Source organism: Homo sapiens, chromosome 14 (genome assembly GCF_000001405.40).
Source record: "Homo sapiens chromosome 14, GRCh38.p14 Primary Assembly".
NCBI classification, from domain to species: domain Eukaryota; kingdom Metazoa; phylum Chordata; class Mammalia; order Primates; family Hominidae; genus Homo; species Homo sapiens.
Genome location: NC_000014.9, coordinates 73,622,500 through 73,643,508, shown reverse-complemented (window position 1 = coordinate 73,643,508; position 21,009 = coordinate 73,622,500). Strand labels below are relative to the sequence as shown.

At 45.4% G+C, this 21,009-nt stretch overlaps 1 protein-coding gene and 1 pseudogene across 1 annotated transcript in view, besides 2 other annotated features; one reads left to right on the top strand and one right to left on the bottom strand.

The window, feature by feature from the left end:
• Positions 3,933-4,102: an enhancer, noted in NCBI's record as "experimental_36549 CRE fragment used in MPRA reporter constructs". NCBI's record gives its function as "activates a minimal promoter by MPRAs in K562 erythroleukemia cells, with activity observed for both the introgressed and non-introgressed 14:74106195 variant alleles {active_cell/tissue: K562}" and the evidence as "EXISTENCE:reporter gene assay evidence [ECO:0000049][PMID:34662402]".
• The window catches only part of HEATR4 (HEAT repeat containing 4), a 155,331-nt gene continuing 144,016 nt past the window's right edge, over positions 9,695-21,009 (top strand). The window contains exon 1 of the mRNA XM_047431370.1: positions 9,695-9,848. The gene's annotated coding sequence lies outside the window, so the exon portion shown is untranslated. The remainder of the gene's footprint in view (positions 9,849-21,009) is intronic.
• Positions 10,132-10,181: an enhancer, noted in NCBI's record as "active region_8706". NCBI's record gives its function as "activates an Ori minimal core promoter by ATAC-STARR-seq in GM12878 lymphoblastoid cells {active_cell/tissue: GM12878}" and the evidence as "EXISTENCE:reporter gene assay evidence [ECO:0000049][PMID:35858748]".
• On the bottom strand, positions 11,388-12,053 carry NDUFB8P1 (NADH:ubiquinone oxidoreductase subunit B8 pseudogene 1; annotated as a pseudogene).

Here is a 21,009-nt window from a genome sequence, read left to right as displayed (position 1 = left end):
GGAGTTTGAGGCTTAGGTGAGCTCTAATTGTGCCATTGCACTCCACCCTGGGCAACAGAGCCAGACCCTGTCTCTAAAACAAAAAACAAAGCAAAAAAATGGAAAAGTTATACATAGTACACACACGTATATAAACATATATCTAAAAGGATATTATGAGGGTTTAATGTTTGCTGTGGACTGAGTGGTGGTACACCAAAATTCATATGTAGTGATCTGGTAAGTTTAAGTTCTTTGATACTTTCTGAGATGTCTGGGGGATACCTAAATTTTAAGCTTTAAAACCGGAAGGGTCAATTTCTATGTTTATTTTTTAAAAAACTGTCTATGGGACTATTGGATAGGTTTCAAAATCTTGGTACACTTCACATAAAGAACATTTTGAGTTCCAGATTCTCAAAGGTTAAAAACATTCACACAGAAAATAAAAGAATTATATAACTTGGACCCTTCTTTTGTTCTTTCATATCCTACAAAATGACAAAATAGATTCCAAAACCTGTTCACCAGAGAATGTGTGGGTCTGCTTGCTCTTATTTCAGGCCTGGATAAAATAAGTTGAAAGAAAGTTTAAAAATAGTATTGAAGGCCGAGCGTGGTGGCTCACGCCTGTAATCCCAGCACTTTGGGAAGCCGAGGCAGGCAGATCACCTGAGGCCGGGAGTTCCAGACCAGCTTGACCAACATGGAGAAACCCCGTCTCTACTAAAAATACAAAATTAGTTGGGCGTGGTGGCGCATACCTGTAATCCCAGTTACTCTGGAGGCTGAGGCAGGAGAATCGCTTGAACCCTGGAGGCGGAGGTTACAGTGAGCCAAGATCGCACCATTGCACTCCAGCCTGGGCAACAAGAGTGAAACTCTGTCTCAAAAATAAATAAATAAATAAATAGTATTGAAACAGTGTTCCCTAATTCAGAATATCTAGCAGACCCTTTGAAAAGTATAAGTAAAATAGTGTTAAATGATACAAAACAGAACCAAATAGAATATGTTAAGAAATCTTTAACTTTTAGGGCCTGACACAGTGGCTCACACCTGTAATCCCAGCACTTTGGGAGGCCGAGGCGGGCAGATCACTTGAGGTCAGGCGTTCGAGACTACCCTGTCCAACATGGCAAAACCCCGTCTCCACTAAAAACACAAAAATTAGCTGGGCATGGTGGCTCATGCCTGTATTCCCAGCTACTCGAGTGGCTGAGGCAGGAGAATTGCCTGAACCCAGGAGGCAGAGGTTGCAGTGAGCCAAGATTGCGCCACTGTACTCTAGCATGGGCGACAGAACGAGAACCTGTCTCAAAACAAAACAAAGAAATCTTTAATTTTTAAGCAAAAATGTGGACCAAACAAAAGAGAAGAAAAAATTGTCACATTTAAGAAATGAGTTAGAGATTAAGCAAAATAGTTAAAAGTTACATACCTTAAAATTGTAAAGAACTTAAACCCTAGGATAGGCACTAATTCTTAAGGTTGTTTATATAATAGAGAAGTTTATCAATTCAAATTAGAATTAGCTGACTGGGTGCAGTGGCTCATACCTATAATCCCAGCACTTTGGGAGGCCAAGGCAGGAGGATGGCTTGAGGCTGGGAGTTCAAGACCAGGCAGGGTAACATAGCGAGACCCCATCTTTAACAAAAAAAAAAAAAAAAAAAAAAAAGAAAAGAAAAATTAGCTGGGCATGGCAGCATGAGCCTGTAGTACCAGCTACTCAGGAGGCTGAAGTGGAAGAATCACTTGAGCCCGGGAGGTCAAGGCTGCAGTGAGCCATGATCATGCCAGTGCATTCCAGCCTGGGCAACAGAGCGAGACTCTGTCTCAAAAAAATAAATAAATAAAAAATAAAAATAAAATAAAATAAATCTTGACCAGGCATGATGGCTCATGCACTGCATTGCAGCCTGGGCAACAATAAACCTCATTTTAAAATCTTACACAAGGGCCAGGCATGGTGGCGCACGCCTGTAATCCCAGCACTTTGGGAGACCAAGGCAGGTGGATCACTGGAGGTCAGGAGTTTGAGACCAGCCTGGCCAACGTGGTGAAACCCCATCTCTACTAAAAATACAAAAATTAGCCGGGCATGGTGGTGCACGCCTGTAGTTCCAGCTACTCAGGAGGCTGAGGCAAAATAATCGCTTGAACCCGGGAGGTGGAGGTTGCAGTGAGCTGAGATCGCGCCACTGCACTCCACCCTGGGTGACAAAAGCGAGACTCAGACTCAAAAAATAAAGAACAAAATCTTACACAAAAACCCCTGAAATCAGGAAGTGGTGTTTACACACACACACACACACCTTTTTTTTCAGTTTTTGGAGACAATGTCTCACTTGGTTGCCCAGGCTAGATAGGCTGGCATGTAGTGGTGTGATCACAGCTCACTGTAGCCTCAACCCCACAGGCTCAGACGATCCTCCTTGCCTCAGCCTCCCAAATAGCTAGGACTGTAGGCATGTGTTATCACCCCCAGCTAAATTTTAAATTTTTTTGTAGAGACTGGGGTCTTGCTATGTTGTCCAGGCTGGTCTTGAACACCTGAGCTCAAGCAAACCACCCACCTTAGCCTCCCAAAGTGCTGGGATTACAGGCCTAAACCACCTCACCAAAGCCTGTATTTTTTCTTGATGTTAATAATTTGAAACTTGTATTCAATTTTAAAAATAATGTTAATTTGGGGAAAACTATTTAATAATACTATAAATTAGGGCAACAACTCTTCAACCTCTGCCAACAAGACGCCTCGCAAACCACTTTTTTTTTTTTAGATAAGAGTCTCACTCTATCACCCAGGCTGGAATGCAGTAGACCAATCGCGGCTCACTGCAACCTTGGCCTTCCAGGTTCAAGCGATCCTCCCACCTCAGCCTCTCAATTATCTGGAACCATAAAAGTGTGCCACCACACCTGGATAATTTTTTGTATTTTTGATAGAGACGAGGTTTTGCCATGATCCCCAGGCTGGTTTTGAACTGCTGAGCTCAAGCGATCTGCCCACCTCGGCCTCCCAAAGTGCTGGGATTACAGGTGTGAGCCACCGTGCCCAGCCGCAAACCAGTCGTAAGCACAAGATTACTGATCAACCAAAATCAAAGTCTAGTAATTAATATCGTTACCTTTCCCTTCAAATATGTAAAGACAAATGGCAACTGCAAAACTAAAACTAAATTATAATGAGGACCAGAACTTTTAACATGTTTCAATTCTATACATTTTAAGTGTTTAGAATAAAAACTCATAACTTCATCTAAGATTATTCTAACAAGTTAAAGCTCACCCACAAACTGTAATTAAGTTTTTGGTGGAGAAGGTGGAAGGTGGAAGGGATAAACTCTGTCTTTCCCTCAGATAATTACATTGTCTACATGTGTAATTATCAATTTGCAACTAGAACCTAGGACCTGCCTGTTTTAAAATATAATTTTAAACAAAAGTGTGAAGGAAAGTTTTTAAAATTACACCAAGATAAGAGAACTTTGGAGAATCAAAGCAAGTGTTTCTCAGTAATTAGTTGCCATTCTAAAGACAAATATCTTAGAGTTCCCAGCTTTCTCTAAAGATCCTGGAACAGGGTGCAGCTAGACACATATCAAAATCTGATTAACAGCAGAAAATATTCTGTGACTTCAGTCCACCACCAACTAGCCTCTGAGTCATCCTACTAGAATTCACTCTAGCCTCTGACTATTATGAGAAAATTATCATAACCCAGTTGTTCCTCATCACAAAACCAGGGGCCTATATGCATGTATTCACCCCTGGTCAAAACATATCTAAAACGGCTGGGCGCGATGGCTCACGCCTGTAATCCCAACACTTTGGGAGGCTGAAGTGAGTGGATCATTTGAGGTCAGGAGTTTGAGAACAGCCTGGCCAACATGGTGAAACCCCATCTCTACTAAAATACAAAAATTAGCTGGGCATGGTGGGAGGCACCTGTAATCCCAGCTACTTGGGAGGCTGAGGCAGGAGAATCACTTGAACTCGGGAGGTGGAGGTTTCAGTAAGCCAAGATCAAGCCACTGCACTCCAGCCTGGGCAACAGAGCAAGACTCTATCTCAAAAGAAAGAAAGAAAGAAACACATATCTAAAACTTCTGGGACAGATACAACAAACAAATAGTCATACACCGGTTTTTTAGATCTTTGGAGGTACAGAAGGTGGCAGGAAGAGTAGGTGGGAAAGGTGGGTAAGTGGCAGCTTGAAAGCTGGCTTTCGGTTAGCAATTACCTTGAAATAAAGCTCAAACAAACCAAACATAGAGAAATATGGATAGTTCCAAAGCTGCGGGCTGTGATGAACTTGAATTTAGCATTTTTATTTCTTTTAAAAGCTTGCAGATGACCATGAAAAGTTCAGATCTCAGTCATTTTTTGATAAAAATATTCAGTCTGTCTCTGGATTTGCTCTGAAGCATAACTAAATTTAAGTGTCTAGCCCAGTGAGGCTGCACATTCCTGTAATCCTAGCACTTTGGAAGGGTGAGGCGGGAGGACTGCTTGAGGCCAGGAGTTCAAGACCAGCCTGGGCAACAGAGCAAAACTCCCCCTGCCTCTTAAATAAATGAATAAATTTAATTGTCTAGTTAGCCTTTACCCTAAGTGCAACTGCAAAAACTCCAAGATCTTCCAAGACTCAATCTGAGCAATAGCATGAGCTTTGAGCTGCCCCCACTCCCAAAATAGGCACCCTCAATACAGGATCCAGGGCTACAGAGAAAAAAGGACTGTAAGGGGGAATCTATTCTGTGGCCAGCACCGGAATAGCTTAAAAGAGTAAAATTTGTCTTCCCATGTTCTTTGAGACACTTCACAGCTATGTCAGTATAAACAGAGCTCTTCCAACGCTTGTTATCCTCTCCAACAATAAAAAGGAAATGGGCATTGGCTTTTTCTTTTTTTCTTTTTCTTTTCTTTCTTTTTTTTTTTTTTTTGAGACAGAGTCTCGCACTGTAGGCCAGGCTGGAGTGCAGTGGCACGATCTCAGCTCACTGCAACCTCCGCCTCCTGGGCTCAAGCAATTCTCCTGCCTTAGCCTCCCGAGTAGCTGGGATTACAGGCATGTGCCACCATGCCCGGCTAATTTTTGTATTTTTAATAGAGATAGGGTTTCACCATGTTGGCCAGGTTGGTCTCGAACTCCTGACCTCAGGTAATCCACCCGCCTCGGCCTCCCAAAGTGCTGGGATTACAGACGTGAGCCACTGCGCCCAGCCAGCACTGGCTTTTTTAAGAGGGATACAGCTTTTTTGATAGGCTTGTCCAAGGGGTCTTCCAGTGCTTCTTTAACCGTATACTCCTCAATCAGTGGCAGAGATTCTGTCTAGGTTAAAAGGCAGTCCTAGCAGGATCAAGCTACCACAGGTAGGGCGTAGTTGTGTTTGAGATGCAGCCACTGATGGTCACGACCACAGCTATATTTGGGAGAAAGCTAGCCATGGAAAATGCCAACTCTGACCCTTTGCCTGAGCCAATCACTGCAATGTTTGGACCTTTGACCTGCAGACTGAAGAAAAAGAAGGCAAACACGGAAAGAGACAAAGGAAAAATGAAGCATAATTGTTAATGGGATCACCAAAGTCCTCAATAAAGGAAAGTCCTTTTTTTTTTTTTTTTTCTTTTGAGACAGAGTTTCGCTCTTGTTGCCCAGGCTGGAGTGCAATGGTGCAATCTGGGCTCACTGCAACGTCTGCCTCCCAGGTTCAAGCAATTTTCCTGCCTCAGCCTCCCAAATAGCTGGGATTACAGGCATGCTCCACCAAGCCGGCTAATTTTGTATTTTTAGTAGAGATGGGGTTTCTCCATGTTAATCAGGCTGATCTTGAACTTCCAACTTCAGATGATCCGCCCACCTCAGCCTCCCAAAGTGCTGGGATTACAGGCGTGAGCCACTGTGCCTGGCCAGAAAGTCTTTTATGAGTTTTTTAGAGTTATCAGACAGCTCTAGTATTTATTTATTAATTCAACAGGTATTTGTTGCAGGTATTTTCCAACCCATTAGTAACACTTCCTTTATTCACTCTCTTCTGGAGTAATTCATTCATTTCTCTCATACCACTCACCTTTGGGTGACTTTGCACAAATTTAACTGCCTCTTCAAAGTAATCTAAGTTTAAGTCTTTCATGGCTGGAGGTAGATCTTCATAGCCAAAAAATGGCAAAGCAGAGTAGCAAAACCTCAACAAGCCAGGAGACTTGCTCAAGATTCACTTAATCCTCCATCACCAAATATATCAATGAGACCAGCAAAAGGACCATCATCTATAACCCAGGAAAGGGAATGAATCTTGGGTTAGATGACAGAACATTTACCTAGCCAACATTTTCTAAATGAAAATTAGATTGTATAATTTATCTTTTTTTAAAAAAACTACCTACTTGCTTTGAAAAGAAAACATCTGTTTTGTGGAAATGGATTTATTATTGTGGTTGAAATAGACATTTATTTGAGCTATTTTGATTCTATAAATGTAAAAATATTTTTATATTTTTTTCCCTGTGAGTTAATCACTGGTAAATGGAAAAAAAGAAAAAGAAAAATCGCACCAAATATATGGGAAGTGTTTTGGTTTGAAGTACAAGTCCTGATAAGTCTAAGCAAATAGTTCTGCAAGCTTTGAGTTATGTAAGAATAAAAATCTCCTTTTTTTTTTCTTTTTTTAGACAGGGTTTCACTCCCATAGCCCAGGCTGGAATGCAGTGGCATAGTCTGGACTCACTGCAACCTCCACACCTCCCGGGCTCAAGCAATTCTTGTGCCCCACTGCACCCTGCTAATTTTTGTAGAGACAAGGTTTCTGCCATGTTGGCCAGGCTGGTCTTGAACTCCTGACCTCAGGCGATCCACCCACCTCAGCCTCCGAAAGTGCTGGGATTACAGGGGTAAGCCACCGTGCTGGCCGGATGTCTGCTTTTGTTTGTTCGTTTGTTTGTTTGAGAGACGGAGTCTTGATCTGTTGCCCAGGCTAAGGTACAGTGGTGCGATCTCAGCTCACTACAACCTCCACCTGCCAGGTTCAAGCGATTCTCCTGCCTCAGCTTCCCAAGTAGCTGGGACTACAGGTGTGTGCCACCATGCCCAGCTAATTTTTGTATTTTTTAGTAGAGACGGGGTTTCACTACACGTTGGCCAGGCTGGTCTCAAACTGCTGACCTCAGGTGATCTGCCCGCCTCGGCCTCTCAAAGTGCTGAGATTACAGGCGTGAGCCACTGCATCCGGCTGGATGTCTGGTTTTTAGCATGAGATTTTTAAAGCCAGGTACAGTGGCTCATGCCTGTAATCCCAGCACTTTGGGAGGCCGAGGTGAGCAGATCATTTGAGGTCGGGAGTTCGAGACCAGCCTGGTCATCATGGTGAAACCCCAAAAACCCATCTCTACTAAAAATACAAAAAACTAGCTGGTTGTGGTGGTGCATGCCTGTGATCCCAGCTAGTCGGGAGGCTGAGGTGGGAGAACCGCTTCAACTTGGGTGACGGAGGTTGCAGTGAGCTGAGATCTCACCACTGCACTCTAGCCTGGGCAACAGAGTGAGACTACGTCTCAAAAAACAAACAAAGAATCAAAAAACAAAAACAAACCCAGACATCCAAATTTAAAGGGCCCTTTGATTTCTCAATAAATTTAAGATATAGTCAGAGTCACCAGAATCCATAATTTGACAGGGATTAAACTGTTTTAAAGGTCTAATGAAGGTGTACTATAAAATGAACTACATGTGTGAAGAGATAGTAAAATGTCAAACTAATATCCTCCCAACGTTGGTCTATTATTTCTCTTTCAACAGTCCTGTTGGGGATGTTTTATTCCTTCACTATTCCAAGAGAAGAATTTATCGGCCAATTGTTTCCTGGTATTTTTCAGATATATTCCTTTGTTATTCCAATTAAAGTAAAAGTGGCTGGGCAGAGTGGTGAGATCCTGTAGTTCCAGCTACTTGGGAGGCTGAGGTGGGAGAATCGCTTCAGCCCTGGAAGGGAGGTTGCAGTGAGCCGTGACAGTGCCACTGCACTCCAGCCAGGGTGACAGAGTGAGACCCTGTCTCAAATAATAATAATAATAATAATAATAATAATAATAATAATAATAATAATAAAGCCAGGCTCAGTTGTGTGTGTCTGTAATCCCAGTACTTTGAGAAGTTGAGGTGGGAGGACTGCTTAAGGCCAGGAGTTCAAGACCAGTCTGGGCAGCATAGCAAGACCCTATCTCTAAAAAAACAAAAAGGTTAAAATGAGGCCATGTACGCCTGTAATCCCAGCACTTTGAGAAGATGAGGTGGAAGGATCACTTGAGCCCAGAAGGTCGAGGCTGCAATAAGCTATCATGATGCCATTGCACTCCAGCCTGGGTGACAGAGCAAGACCTAGTCTCTAAAAAAATAAGAATTTAAAAAAGAAAGATGGCTGGGTGTGGTGGTTCACACCTGTAATCCCAACACTTGGGGAGGCCAAGGTGGGAGGATCGCTGGAGCCCACGAGTTCAAGACCAGGCTGGGCAACGTAGGGAAACCCTGTCTCTACAAAAAATAAAAAAAAAATTTACCTGGGTGGCACATGGCTGCTGTCCCAGCTACTCTACTCTGAAGGCTGAGGTGGGAGGATCGCTTGGGCTCAGGAGGTTGAGACTGCTGTAAGCAAACAAAAGCATTTAATGCTAGAAACTTTGCAGCAATCTTATGCTTAATATAGCAAACACGCAGGGTCTATGCTCCTAAGGAATAGCGTATGCAGCACTAGGACTCTGGCGGGTGAGCAGCTGGCAGAAGAAAGGTGCATAAGCAGATGAAATTTGGATCCTAGCCACCATCTAGGGGAATGAATGTTCCACTTGAAGTCTAGGAGACAAAATAAAGGGATTAAGGAGCTCGCTTTGTTTTCAGATGACAAACCAGCTAGCAAAGCAAGCCAGTCGATTCCCTCACTCTGCTGTCAGGCACTCTGCGGAAAAGGGCCCCCGCACCTGATGGCAGCAGGAAGACCCCCCGCAGGCGGCCGGCTCGCAGGCGCGCGGCGCAGCTCGGGGATGGAGAACCAGCGCTGCACCTGGGCCGAGGCCAGCGCCGGACTCAGCGGCGCCGCCTGCTGCAGCGGCGTTAGGTGGATGGTCACCTCCACTATGAGGGGGTTTTTCAAGGCGGCCCTCCGCATTCGACTGAGGCGTGGATCCTTCGAAGCGGCCGGCATGAGGCTCCACAGGAGCCCCATGGGCCCCACGCCCGTGAAGTCGCCTCCTAGAGCCAGGTCCCCGGCCAGGTCCAGCCCCCCGCCGCTGTCCACCTCGTAGTGGGCAAGGGAGTGGAAGAGGCGGCCTCGGTGGCTGACGCCCGACACCTGCAGGGTCACCGGCTCCCCCGAGCCCAAGCCTTCTGCTTTCATATCCAGGCACTTGTCGGCCAGCCCAGTCTTGGGCGTGACGGTCAGGGTCGCGGCCTTTTGGGAGAAAAAGGACGATGTGGATATCGGCCTCCAGGCCTGGAGGGGGACCCCAGAGGCTCGGAGCGCTGCCCGGACCGCCGGCCACATGGTCCGGGACTGTCGCGGCTTTGACCTCCGCCAAGGTCGAGGCGGCCTGGCACTGGCGGCCGAGGTTCCGCGCTGAAGAGGAGGGAGGAGGGGGGCCCGGCCTGGCAGGTCGTGGCCCTGTGGGGCAAAACCCTGCAGGGCCACGTGATGGGACCTGGGCTGGTCCCTGCGGCGCCACTTAGCAACGGGCTGCAAGAAGAGACGACTTCGGAGGGCCCAGGGTCCTTTGAGCTCCTAGAGGTCCCGTGTGGAACCATCTGGAAGAGGTAGGATCCCCTCGCGAGTTTACCCCGGACGTGTGGCGAATAAAGTTAAGCATTTTTAACGGTAAGTGCCGGCCTCTGGCCGCCTCTGAATTTCCTCACTGGCCACCAGGGGTCAATATTCCCTAAGCCTGATTGAAGGAGGCCAAGTGTGCTAGGGTCCTAACAAATTCCTTTCCTCCGTTTTAAGTAATCTTTGTCCTGGATTAAGAAAGACTATCAAAGTTAAAGTTTAAACGTTTCCGATGAGATACTGAATTGAACTATAAAATAGTAGGGATTGATAATAGAAACTGGTGGAGAGACACTTCCCCAACTTGAATGCCAGCAAAGACCTAAAACGAGCCCAGCGGGGACATAGGGGATGAGCTCAGGAGGGAGCATAAATTTTGCTTTTTCATTCAGAAAGTGGAACTACAGGACAGCCCGCAGTGGCTCACGCCTGTAATCCCAGCACTTTAGGAGGCCGAAGCGGATGGATCACGTGAGGTCAGGAGTTCGAGACCAGCCTGGCCAGAATGGTGAAACCAAATCTCTACTAAAAATTCAAAAATTAGCCAGGCGTGGTGGCAGGCACCTGTAATCCCAGCTACTCGGGAGGCTGAGGCGAGAGAATCGCATGAAACCGGGAGGCGGAGGCTGCAGTGAGCCGATATTGTGCCATTGCACTCCAGCTTGGGGGACAGAATGAGACCCCATCTCAAAAAAAAAAAAAAAGAGAGAGAGAGAGAGAGAAAGCTGAATTACAGATATATACCCTAAGGAAATAAGTTCTATTGTCCTGTGGACTGGAACAAGTGTTAACAATGTATATTTTTTGTATGCAGAAGAAAAGCTTACAAGTATATTACATTTCTTCTTCTTCTTTTTTTTTTTTTTTTGAGACAGGGTCTCACTCTGTCACCCAGGCTGGAGTGCAATGGCGTGATCTTGGCTCACTGCAACCTCCACTTCCCGGGTTCAAGTGATTCTCCTACCTCAGCCTCCCTAGTAGCTGGGATTATAGGCGCAAACCACTGCATCTGGCTAATTTTTGTATTTTTAGTAGAGATGGGGTTTCACCATGTTGGCCAGGCTGGTCTTGAACTCCTGACCTCAGGTGATCCCCCTGCCTTGGCCTCCCAAAGTGCTGGGATTACAGGCATGAGCCACTGCCCCCAGCCAAGTATATTACATTTCTGTTTTTTTAAGAGAGAGAAAAGGCCTTGAACCCACAAAATAAAACCATAGTTTTTCATTCATACATATGAATATTGTATTTTGTATATATATACAAAATGGTTCTGGAATGGTTCTGGAAGGAAACACTTCAAACTGGTAATAGTAACTACCCTTGGGAGAAGACTGAGATTGGGTAATGAGTTAAGAGGACCTTTTATTTTATCTGTATTACTTGAATCTTTCACAGTGAAGAAAGTATTGATATATGTAATTTAAAATTTGTTTTCCGGCTAGGCATGGTGGCTCATGCCTGTAATCCCAGCATTTTGGGAGACAGAGGCAGAAGGATCACTTTGAGGCCAGGAGTTCAAGACCACCCTGGGCAACATAACGAGACCCCCATCTCTACAAATTTCCTTTTCTTTTTTTTTTTTTAAACCACCACAGCACTGAGTTTTATTAGGGATTTCATTAAGGTTAAATTTATAGGAATGAGGGAGTCTTAGTTAGAGGGCGCAAAAGCCCACAAAGCCTCCTGGTATCCATAGTCAACCACTGGCTCAGGTTCTTTGGAGAGATCGCCACCTTGTTCCAGGTACAGATTATTGCAAGGACACTGTTTTGGTCCCACGGGCTGGTAGACAGGGTAAATCACCCCCACCCAGAACATGAACATCATGAAAGCCACAGAGCCGAAGAGCTGTATACACATGATATTCCAAGAAACAGGTGTGGGGGACATAGCTACATGGTTCCTGATATGCATGTCTAGGTGCCAGTGTATCCCCAGTTCAACCTCAGGCCAGGTGGTCTCAGTTATACCACAGATCCCTCTTCTGCTATAAGTGGTCAGGGAGCTTCAGGTAGTCCCCATACCCCATGCCGTCATTCGAATAAGGCTCGTAGTCTTCCACACACATATTTATACTTCTTGGTGGCAGCGACCCGTTCTTCTGGGGTCTTAGGTTAGGGCCCCGGGAGCATGCCCTTGGTAATGTGGGAGGCTGTCTGTGCACCCAGTGGCATCACATTCTGGGATGCCCTTTGCGGCCACTAGACTCCCAGGACCCCAGCCCTGGCCGCCACTACCTTCACCTACTACATTTTTTCAAATAGCTGGCCATGGTGGCTCATGCCTGTTGTCCTAGCTACTCAGGAGGCTGAAGTGGGAGGACCACTTGAGCCCAGGAGTTAGAGGTTGCAGTGAGCTATGGATTGCACCACTGCACCCCAGCCTGGGTGACAGAGCAAGACCTGGTCTCTAAAAATTAAAAAAAAAATTGTTTTCTACTATTCTATCTTAATTAAAACGCATGTGTAAAATGAGGTGAATTAACCCAGGTGAACATATTTTATTAAACTGCTTGTCAAGGAAGAGGGGTATGTATATAAATCCTAAATTTGGGGAGAAACAATCCCATTTTCAAATCTTATCCCATTTATCTATAAATAATTGTCATGTGTCATATTTCTGGATAGAATGTATTTGCCACTGAAAACACATGGCCATTGGACCAAGAGTTTCTGGTTTAGAGCCATCCAACAACCCTGTTTTCTTTGAAAAGTAAGTACCTGCAAGGTACTTTTCTCTGAAAAGCAAGGACTTGTTAAAGTCCTGTCTTTGGTCCTTTCGCCATAAATATTGTTGGGGCTCAGAGAACAATACCCCAAAATGAAGGCCTCAGAAGGGAAAGTTTTTCTTTGCCCTTCTCCTGCCACCCTGCTCTGAGTCCCATTCTTCCCTGAGGCTAGCCATAAAAACTAGAATCCCTTTTCTTCCAGGCAGATCATAGAAACCAGAACTCCTTTTCCCTAAAGCCAGTGATAAAACCTCAAAATATTACTGTAATTTTCCCTCTGCCTTTCTGTGTAAAAATTGGCTGTAAACAAATGATCTGATCTACCTTATTTGACTGTAAGTCGTGATTCCCATTCTAAAGAGGGACCGGCATGCCCCACACCCAGAAGGAAGGAATGAAGCTCAGAGAAGCCAAGAAGAATCTAGACAGACAGGCCTTGCTGGGTTTCCCCACTCAGCTTAGTAGCATTTTATTGGGGGAGCGAACCACTATGGTGGCATGGGGTAAAAGAATTTACCAAGACAGTTGTAGGTAAAGAAAGGCAGATTTATTAGAGAAAGTAGGAAAATACGTTGCGAGAACGTTGCAACAGGCAGGCCAGCAGAAGAGAAGTTGACTGCAAAGAAACAAAGGCTTGCTGGGGACTTTATAGAATAATGTTTATGCTGTCTGTTGAAGAGGGATTTGTGCAGTAGCGATAACACCAAGGTTGCAGTGAGCTAACTTGGAGGGGTCTGGTGATAGTTGGGCGGAGGAAGATTATCAGTTATTTGTGCAGGAGGGCTGTGTCCTGGACCATGAAGAAAGGCAGACTGGTAGCTTATCTGCGTCTTCTTTTTGCTTTCCCCTGCTCCCACCAGCCTGACTCCCTTTGTCTAATTAGGACACCACGTACCCTTTTTGTCCAATCATATTTCTTTTTTTTTTAAATTTTTTTGTTTTTTATTTTTTATTTTTTTTGAGATGGTGTCTTGCTCTGTCGCCCAAGCTGGAATGCGGTGGAGCCAATTTAAAATGATAAGAAATAAGTAATCTGGGGCCGGGTGTGGTGGTTCACGTCTGTAATCCCAGCACTTTGGGAGGCCGAGGAGGGCGGATCTCAAAGTCAGGAGATCCAAACCATCCTGGCTAACACGGTGAAACCCCGTCTCTACTAAAAAAATACAAAAAAATTAGCCGGGCTTGGTGGCGGGTGCCTGTAGTCCCAGCTACTTGGGAGGCTGAGGCAGGAGAATGGCGTGAACCCGGGAGGCAGAGCTTGCAGTGAGCTGAGATTGCACCACTGCACTCCAGCCTGGGCAACAGAGTGAGACTCCATCTCAAAAAAAAAAAAAATCTAAACTTTCCACCTTGGGTTGTGAAGCTACATCATGTGACCCTAACATACCATTAACTTTCTTATAGTCCCCTTCATGCAGCTCTGCACTCTTCCAGTCTCTCCTCAAGCTGGAAGGCACTAGAGCCAAGTGGTCAGTGAAGGCATGGGCTTTGGCCTTGGACTGACTTAGCTCTCCCACTAACCAGGCATGTTTCTTCTCTTGGATCTCCATTTCCTTATCTGAAATAATAATTGTTAATACAGGGATACCTGGGAGATATTGCAGATTTGCTTCCAGACCACTGCAATAAAGCACATATCACAATAAAGTGAGTCACATGAATGTTTGGTTTCCCAGTGCATATAAAAGGTGTATAATATACTGTAGTCTATTAAGTTGCCATAGCATTATGTTTAAAAAAAGTACATACCTTAATGAAAAAACACACCTCTGCTAAATAATGCTAATGATTATCTGAGACTTCAGTGGGTCGTAATCTTTTTGCTGATATTTTTGCCTCCATTTGAAGGCCACAGACTCACTAGGGTGGTGGTTGCAGAAGGTTGGTGTGGCTGTGGCAATTTTTTTTTCTTTCTTTTTTTTTTTTTGGGAACATACTCTCGCTCTTGTTGCTCAGGCTGAAGTGCAGTGGCGTTATCTCGGCTCACTGCAACCTCCACCTCCCAGGTACAGGGAATTCTCCTGCCTCAGCCTCCCAAGTAGGTGGGATTACAGGCGCCCACCACTATGCCCGGGTAACTTTTTTGTATTTTTAGTAGAGACGGGGGTTTCACCATGTTGACCAGGCTGGTCTCAAACTCCTGACCTCCGGTCATCCACCAGCCTCGGCTTCCCAAAATGCTAGGATTACCGGCATGAGCCACTGCTGTGGCAAATTTTTTTTTTTTTTTGAGATGGAGTTTCACTCTTGTTGCCCAGGCTGCAGTGCAATGGCCCGATCTCAGCTCACTGAAACCTCCACCTCCCGGGTTCAAGTGATTCTCCTACCTCAGCCTCCCAAGTAGGTGGGATTACAGGCATGCGCCACCACTCCTGGCTAATTTTGTATTTTTAGTAGAGACAGAGTTTCTCCATGTTGGTCAGGCTGGTCTCAAACTCTTGACCTCAGATGATCCGCCCGCCTCGGCCTCCCAAAGTGCTGGGATTACAGGTGTGAGCCACCACACCCAGAGGCTGTGGCAATTTTTAAAACTAAGACTATGGGCTGGGCACAGTGGCTCATGCCTGTAATCCTAGTATTTTGGGAGGCTGAGATGGGAGGATTGCTTGAGGCTGAGTTCAAGACCAACCTGGCCAACCTAGCAAGATCCCATCTCTATCAATTTTCTTTAAATTAAAAAAAATGACTATGTGATATTGTGAAATATATATTTGGTCGTAATCTTGTTTTGTGACATACAACTCCTAAAAGATTTAGAATCTCCAACGTGTTGTCTTTTGTGTGCTAATGAGTTGATTAATGGCTGGCAGCCCCTAGGTAGCTTCAGTATGGGGGCTGGTCACCAGAAACACCAAGGCAGGATTAAAGAATTGAAAGCCAGACACAGTGGCTCACGCCTGTAATCCCAGCACTTTGGGAGGCCAAGGCGGGCAGATCACTTGAGGTCAGGAGTTCGAGACTAGCCTGGCTAACATAGCAAGACTCCGTCTCTACTAAAAATATAAAAATTAGCCAGGCTTGGTGGCACCCACCTGTAATCCCAGCTACTCAGGAGGCTGAGGCAGGAGAATCACTTGAATCCAGGAGACGGAAGTTGCAGTGAACAACACTGCCCTCCAGCCTAGGCAACAGAGAGTAAGATTCCGTCTCAAAAAAAAAAAAAATTGTTGGGACTTTCAGCCCCACTGTAAACCTACCAAACCTGGGGAGGAGGGAAAGCGTTAGGGTTAAGCTGATCACCAATGGGCAATGATTTAATCAATCGTGCCTAGATGATGAGGCTTCCATAAAAACCCAGAAATGGGTTCAGAGATCTTCTGGATAGCTGAACACATGGAGGTTCCTGGAGAGTGACATGCCCGGGAGGACATGGAAGCTCTGTGTCTTTTCTCCCTATACATCTCCTTATCGGTGTCACTTGTAATATCCTTTATAGTAAACCAGTAAGTGGAAGTAAGTGTTTCCCAAGTTCTGTGAGTCACTCCAGCAAATCAAACCCAACAAGGAGGTCATTGGAACCCCAACGTGAAGCCAGTTAGTCAGAAGTTCTGAAAACCTAGACTTAAGACTGGTGGGAAGAGACTGGTCTTGTGGGACCTACTCCTCAACCTGTGGGATCTGATGTTATTTCCAGGTAGACTGTGTCAGAGTTGAATTGGAGGACACCCAGCTGGTGTCTGCTGCAGAACTGTTTGCCTGCCTGGTGTGTGGGGAGAAACCTCCCACATTTGGTCACAGAAGTATTCTGTGTTGATTGTTGCGTTGAGTGAGAGAATTGCACCAGGGATAGACTTCTCCTTACTAACTATGAAAGTCCTAGATGACTGGGACTTTCACAGCTAGTGAGGAGAAGTCTATGCCTGGTGCAGTTCTCCCAATAAAAGGCTGTTTTGGCTGGGCATGGTGGCTCACACCTGTAATCCCAGCACTTCAGGAGGCCGAGGCGGGTGGATCACCTGAGGTCAGGAGTTTGAGACCAGCCTGACCAACTTGGCTAAACCCTGTCTCTACTAAAAATACAAAAATTAGTGGGGTGTGGTGGCGCATACCTGTAATCCCAGCTACCTAGGGGGCTAAGGCAGGAGAATCACTTGGAGGCAGAGGTTGCCGTGAGCTGAGATCGTACCATTGCACTCTAGCCTGGGCAACAATAGCAAAACTCTGTCTCAAAAAAAAAAAAAAAAAAAAAAAAAAGGCTGTTTGTCTGTTGTTTAGTGGTTTAGTGTAGCCACCTTCATCAGTTATCTCAGCTAGGTCTTCTGGATAACTTGCTGCAGCTTCTACATCAGAGTTTGCTGCTTCACCTTGAACTTTTTTTTTTTAAGACAGGGTCTCACTATGTTGCCCAGGCTGGTTTTGAACCTCTGGGCTCAAGTGATCCTTCTTCCTCAGCCTCCAGAGTAGCTGTGACTACAGGCATGAACCATCACACCTGGCAAACTTGCACTTTAACATTATGGAGATGGCTTCTTTCCTTAAATTTAATAAGCCAACATATGCTAGCTTTAAACTTTTCTACTGCAGCTTCCTAACTTCTCCCAGCCTTCATAGAATTGAAGAGAATTAGGGCCTTGCTCTGGATTGGGCTTTAGCTTAAGCTTGTCCACCCTACAGCTTGTGAACTCCATGCAGCCCAGGATGGCTTTGAATGTGGCCCAACACAAAATTGTAAACTTTTTTAAAACATTATGAGATTTTTTTTGCGATTTTCTTAAAGCTCATCAGCTATTATTAGCGTTGTTGTATATTATGTGTGACCCAAGACAATTCTTCTTCTTCCAATGTGGCCTAGGAAAACCAAAAGATTGGACACCCCTGCTGTTTAGCTTAAGGGAATGTTGTGGCTAGTTTGATCTTCTATCCAGACCACTAAAACTTTCTCCAAATCAGCCATAAGGATGTTTTACTGTGTTCACTTAAGTAGGACTTTTAATTGCCTTCAAGAACTTTTCCTTTGCACTCACAACTTGGCTAACTGCTTAGGGGAAGAGGCCTGGCTTTCAGCCTATCTTGGCTTTCTCTATGCTTCATCATTTCTAGCTTTTGATTTAAAGTGAGAGACCCGAGACTCTTCCTTTCACTTGAACACTTAGAGGCCATTGTAGGGTTATTAACTGGCATAATTCCAATATTGTTTTGTCTCAGGGAATAGGGAGGCCTGAGGAGAGGGAAACAGATGGGAAAGGCCAGTTGGTGGAGCAGTCAGAACACACACAACATTTATTAAGTTCACCATCTTATGTGGGTGCAGTTCTGGGAGCCCCAAAACAATTACAGTAGTAACATCAAAGATCACCGTAACAGATATAATAATAATGAAAAAGGCTAGATGTGGTGGCTCACGCCTGTAATCCCAGCACTTTGGGAGGCCGAGGCTGGTGGATCACCTAAGGTCAGGAGTTCGAGACCAGCCTGGTCAAATGGTGAAACCTCGTCTCTACTAAAAATACAAAAATTAGCTGAGCATGGTGGCATGCACCTGTAATCCCAGCTACTTGGGAGGCTGAGGCAGTAGAATTGCTTGAACCTGGGAGGCGGAGGTTGCTGTGAGTCGAGATCGTGCCACTGCACTCCAGCCTGGGCAACAAGAGTGAAACTCTGTCTAAAAAATAAAATAAATAAAATAGGCTGGGCGCGGTGGCTCACACCTGTAATCCCAGCACTTTGAGAGGCCAAGGCGGGTGGATCATGAGGTCAAGAGATCGAGACCACCCTGGCCAACATGGTGAAACTCCGTCTCTACTAAAAATACAAAAATTAGCTGGGTGCGGTGGTGCACACCTGTAAGTCCCAGCCATTCAGGAGGCTGAGGCAGGAGAATCGCTTGAATCCAGGAGGCGGAGGTTGCAGTGAGCCGAGATCACACCACTGCACTCCAGCCTGGCAACAGAGCAAGACTCCATCTCATAAATAAATAAATAAATAAATAAAATAATGAAAAGACCGTAATATTGTAAGAATTACCAGATGTGACACAGAGACACAAAGTGAGCACATGCTGTTGAAAATGGTGCTGATAGACTCTCTTGACACAGGGTTGTCACAGACCTTTAACTTGTGGAAAATTTAATAAAGCAAAGCCCAATAAAACAAAGTATACCTGTATTTGAAAATTAAAATATGTTAAGTACTTTACACAGATTATCTAATTTAATCACAATAGCCCCATGAAGTAGTTACTATTATTACGCCCATTTCATAGATGAGGCATATAGACAGAAACCCCAGGCTGCACTACTTACTAAACTGTGTGAGCCTGGATTAGGCTGGGATTTACGTCTGCTGTAGAAGCATCCTTGAAAATATTACCTGTCTTAGTGCATTTGTGTTGCTATAAAGAAGAGTTACTAAAAAGAGGGTTTTTTTTGTTGGGGTAGAGGGGAGCAGTCTTTCTCTGTCACCCAGGCTGGATGGAGTGCAGTGGTGTGATCATGGTTCACTGTAGCCTTGTCCTCCTACACTAAAGTTATCCTCCCACCTCAGCATCCTGAGTAGATGGGACTACAAGTGGGTACCACTGCACCCGGCTAATTTTTATTTAAAAAAATTTTTTTGGGCGGGGCGCGTTGGCTCATGCCTGTAATCCCAGCAATTTGGAAGCCCGAGGCAGGTGGATCACCTGAGGTTAGGAGTTTGAGACCAGCCTGGGCAACATGGCGAAACCCCATCCCTACTTAAAAAAAATACAAAAAGATTAGCTGGGTGTGGTGGTGTGTGCCTGTAATCTCAGCTACTCGGGATGCTGAGGTAGGAGAATCACTTGAATCTGGGAGGTGGAGGTTGCAGTGAGCCGAGATTGCACCACTGCACTCCAGCCTGGGCAACAGAGCAAGATGCCGTATCAAAAAATATATATATTTGTAGAAACAGGGTTTCACTATGTTGTCTAGGCTGGTCTTAAACTCCAGGTCCCAAGCAATCCTCCCACCTCAGGCTCCCAAAATGTTGGGATTACAGGCATGAGCCACTGGCCCTGGCCAAAAAGAGGTTTATTTGGCTCACGGTTCTGCAGGCTGTACAAGAAGCACAGTGCCAGCATCTGCTTGTGGTGAGGGCCTGAGACTGCTTCCACTCACTGCAGAAGGGACAGAGGCCTAGCGTGTGCAGATCACATGGCGAGAGAGAAGCAGGAAAGAGGGGAAGGAAGTGCCAGGCTCTTTTTCACAACCAGCTCTCAGGGGAACTCTTGTGGGAACTCACAGAGAGGACTGCACCAAGACATTCCTGAGGGGTTGGCCCTCATGACCCAAACACCACCCATTAGGCCCCACCTCCAACATTGGGATGCAAATTTCTCTTTATTTTTTAGAGACAGGATCTTGCTCTGTCACCTAGGCTGGAATGCAGTGCCATCATCATAGCGAGAATTCCTGGGCTCAACCAATCCTCCTGCTTCAGCCTCCCAAGTAGCTGGGACTACAGGTGCTCATTACCATACCTGGTTAATTTTAAAAACATTTTTAGTAGAAACAGGGTCTTGCTACTTTGCTCAAGCTGGTCTCAAACTCCTGGCCTTGAGCAATCCTCCTACCTGGGCCTCTCAAAGTGTTGGGCTTACAGGCATGAGCCACCATGCCCACCTGGGGATCAAGTTTCAACATGGGATTTGGAGAGGACAACATCTAAACTATAACACTACCCTTTATATCACGTAATGTTTCTTAGTATGACTATCTTTGGAAGAAACTGATTTCTAAGTTTGGCTTTTATTTTATGAAAGTTGTAAATTTTGTGTAACTAATTAGGTCTCCTTCTTTGCGTAAACCACTATAAGGCCAGGCGTGGTGGCTCATGCCTGTAATCCCAGCACTTTGGGAGGCTGAGGTGGGCGGATCACCTGAACTCAGGAGTTCAAGATCAGCCTGACCAACATGGTGAAGCCCCATCTCTACTAAAAAAAATACAAAATTAGCCGGGCATGGTGGTGCATGCCTGTATTCCCAGCTACAGGGAGGCTGAGGCAGGAGAATCGCTTGAACCCGGGAGGCGGATGTTGCAGTGAGCCGAAGTTGCACCATTGCACTCCAGCCCAGGCAGCAAGAGCAAAACTCTGTCTCAAAAAAAAACAAAAACTAAACAAAAAAACCACTATAAAATACATGACTGAATGAGTGGTCAATCCAGGCAAGGGCATAGGATTCCATAATAAGCACTATTATATTAGCCTCATTTCTGGCTTAACTTTATGGATAACTTTTCTCTTTCTCCCTTCTGCTTCATATTGCTTTACTGCATTTCAAATGGCTTGATAACAACCTGAGATTCTTTTTGAAATAAAAATCTCAAGCCAGGCGCGGTGGCTCATGGCTGTAATCCCAGCACTTTGGGAGACCAAGGCAGGCGATCACCTGAGGTCAGGAGTTCGAGACCAGCCTGACCAACATGGAGAAACCCTTTCTCTACTAAAAGTACAAAATTAGCCGGGTGTGGTGGTGCGCCTATAATCTCAGCTACTAGGGAAGCTGAGGCAGGAGAATCACTTGA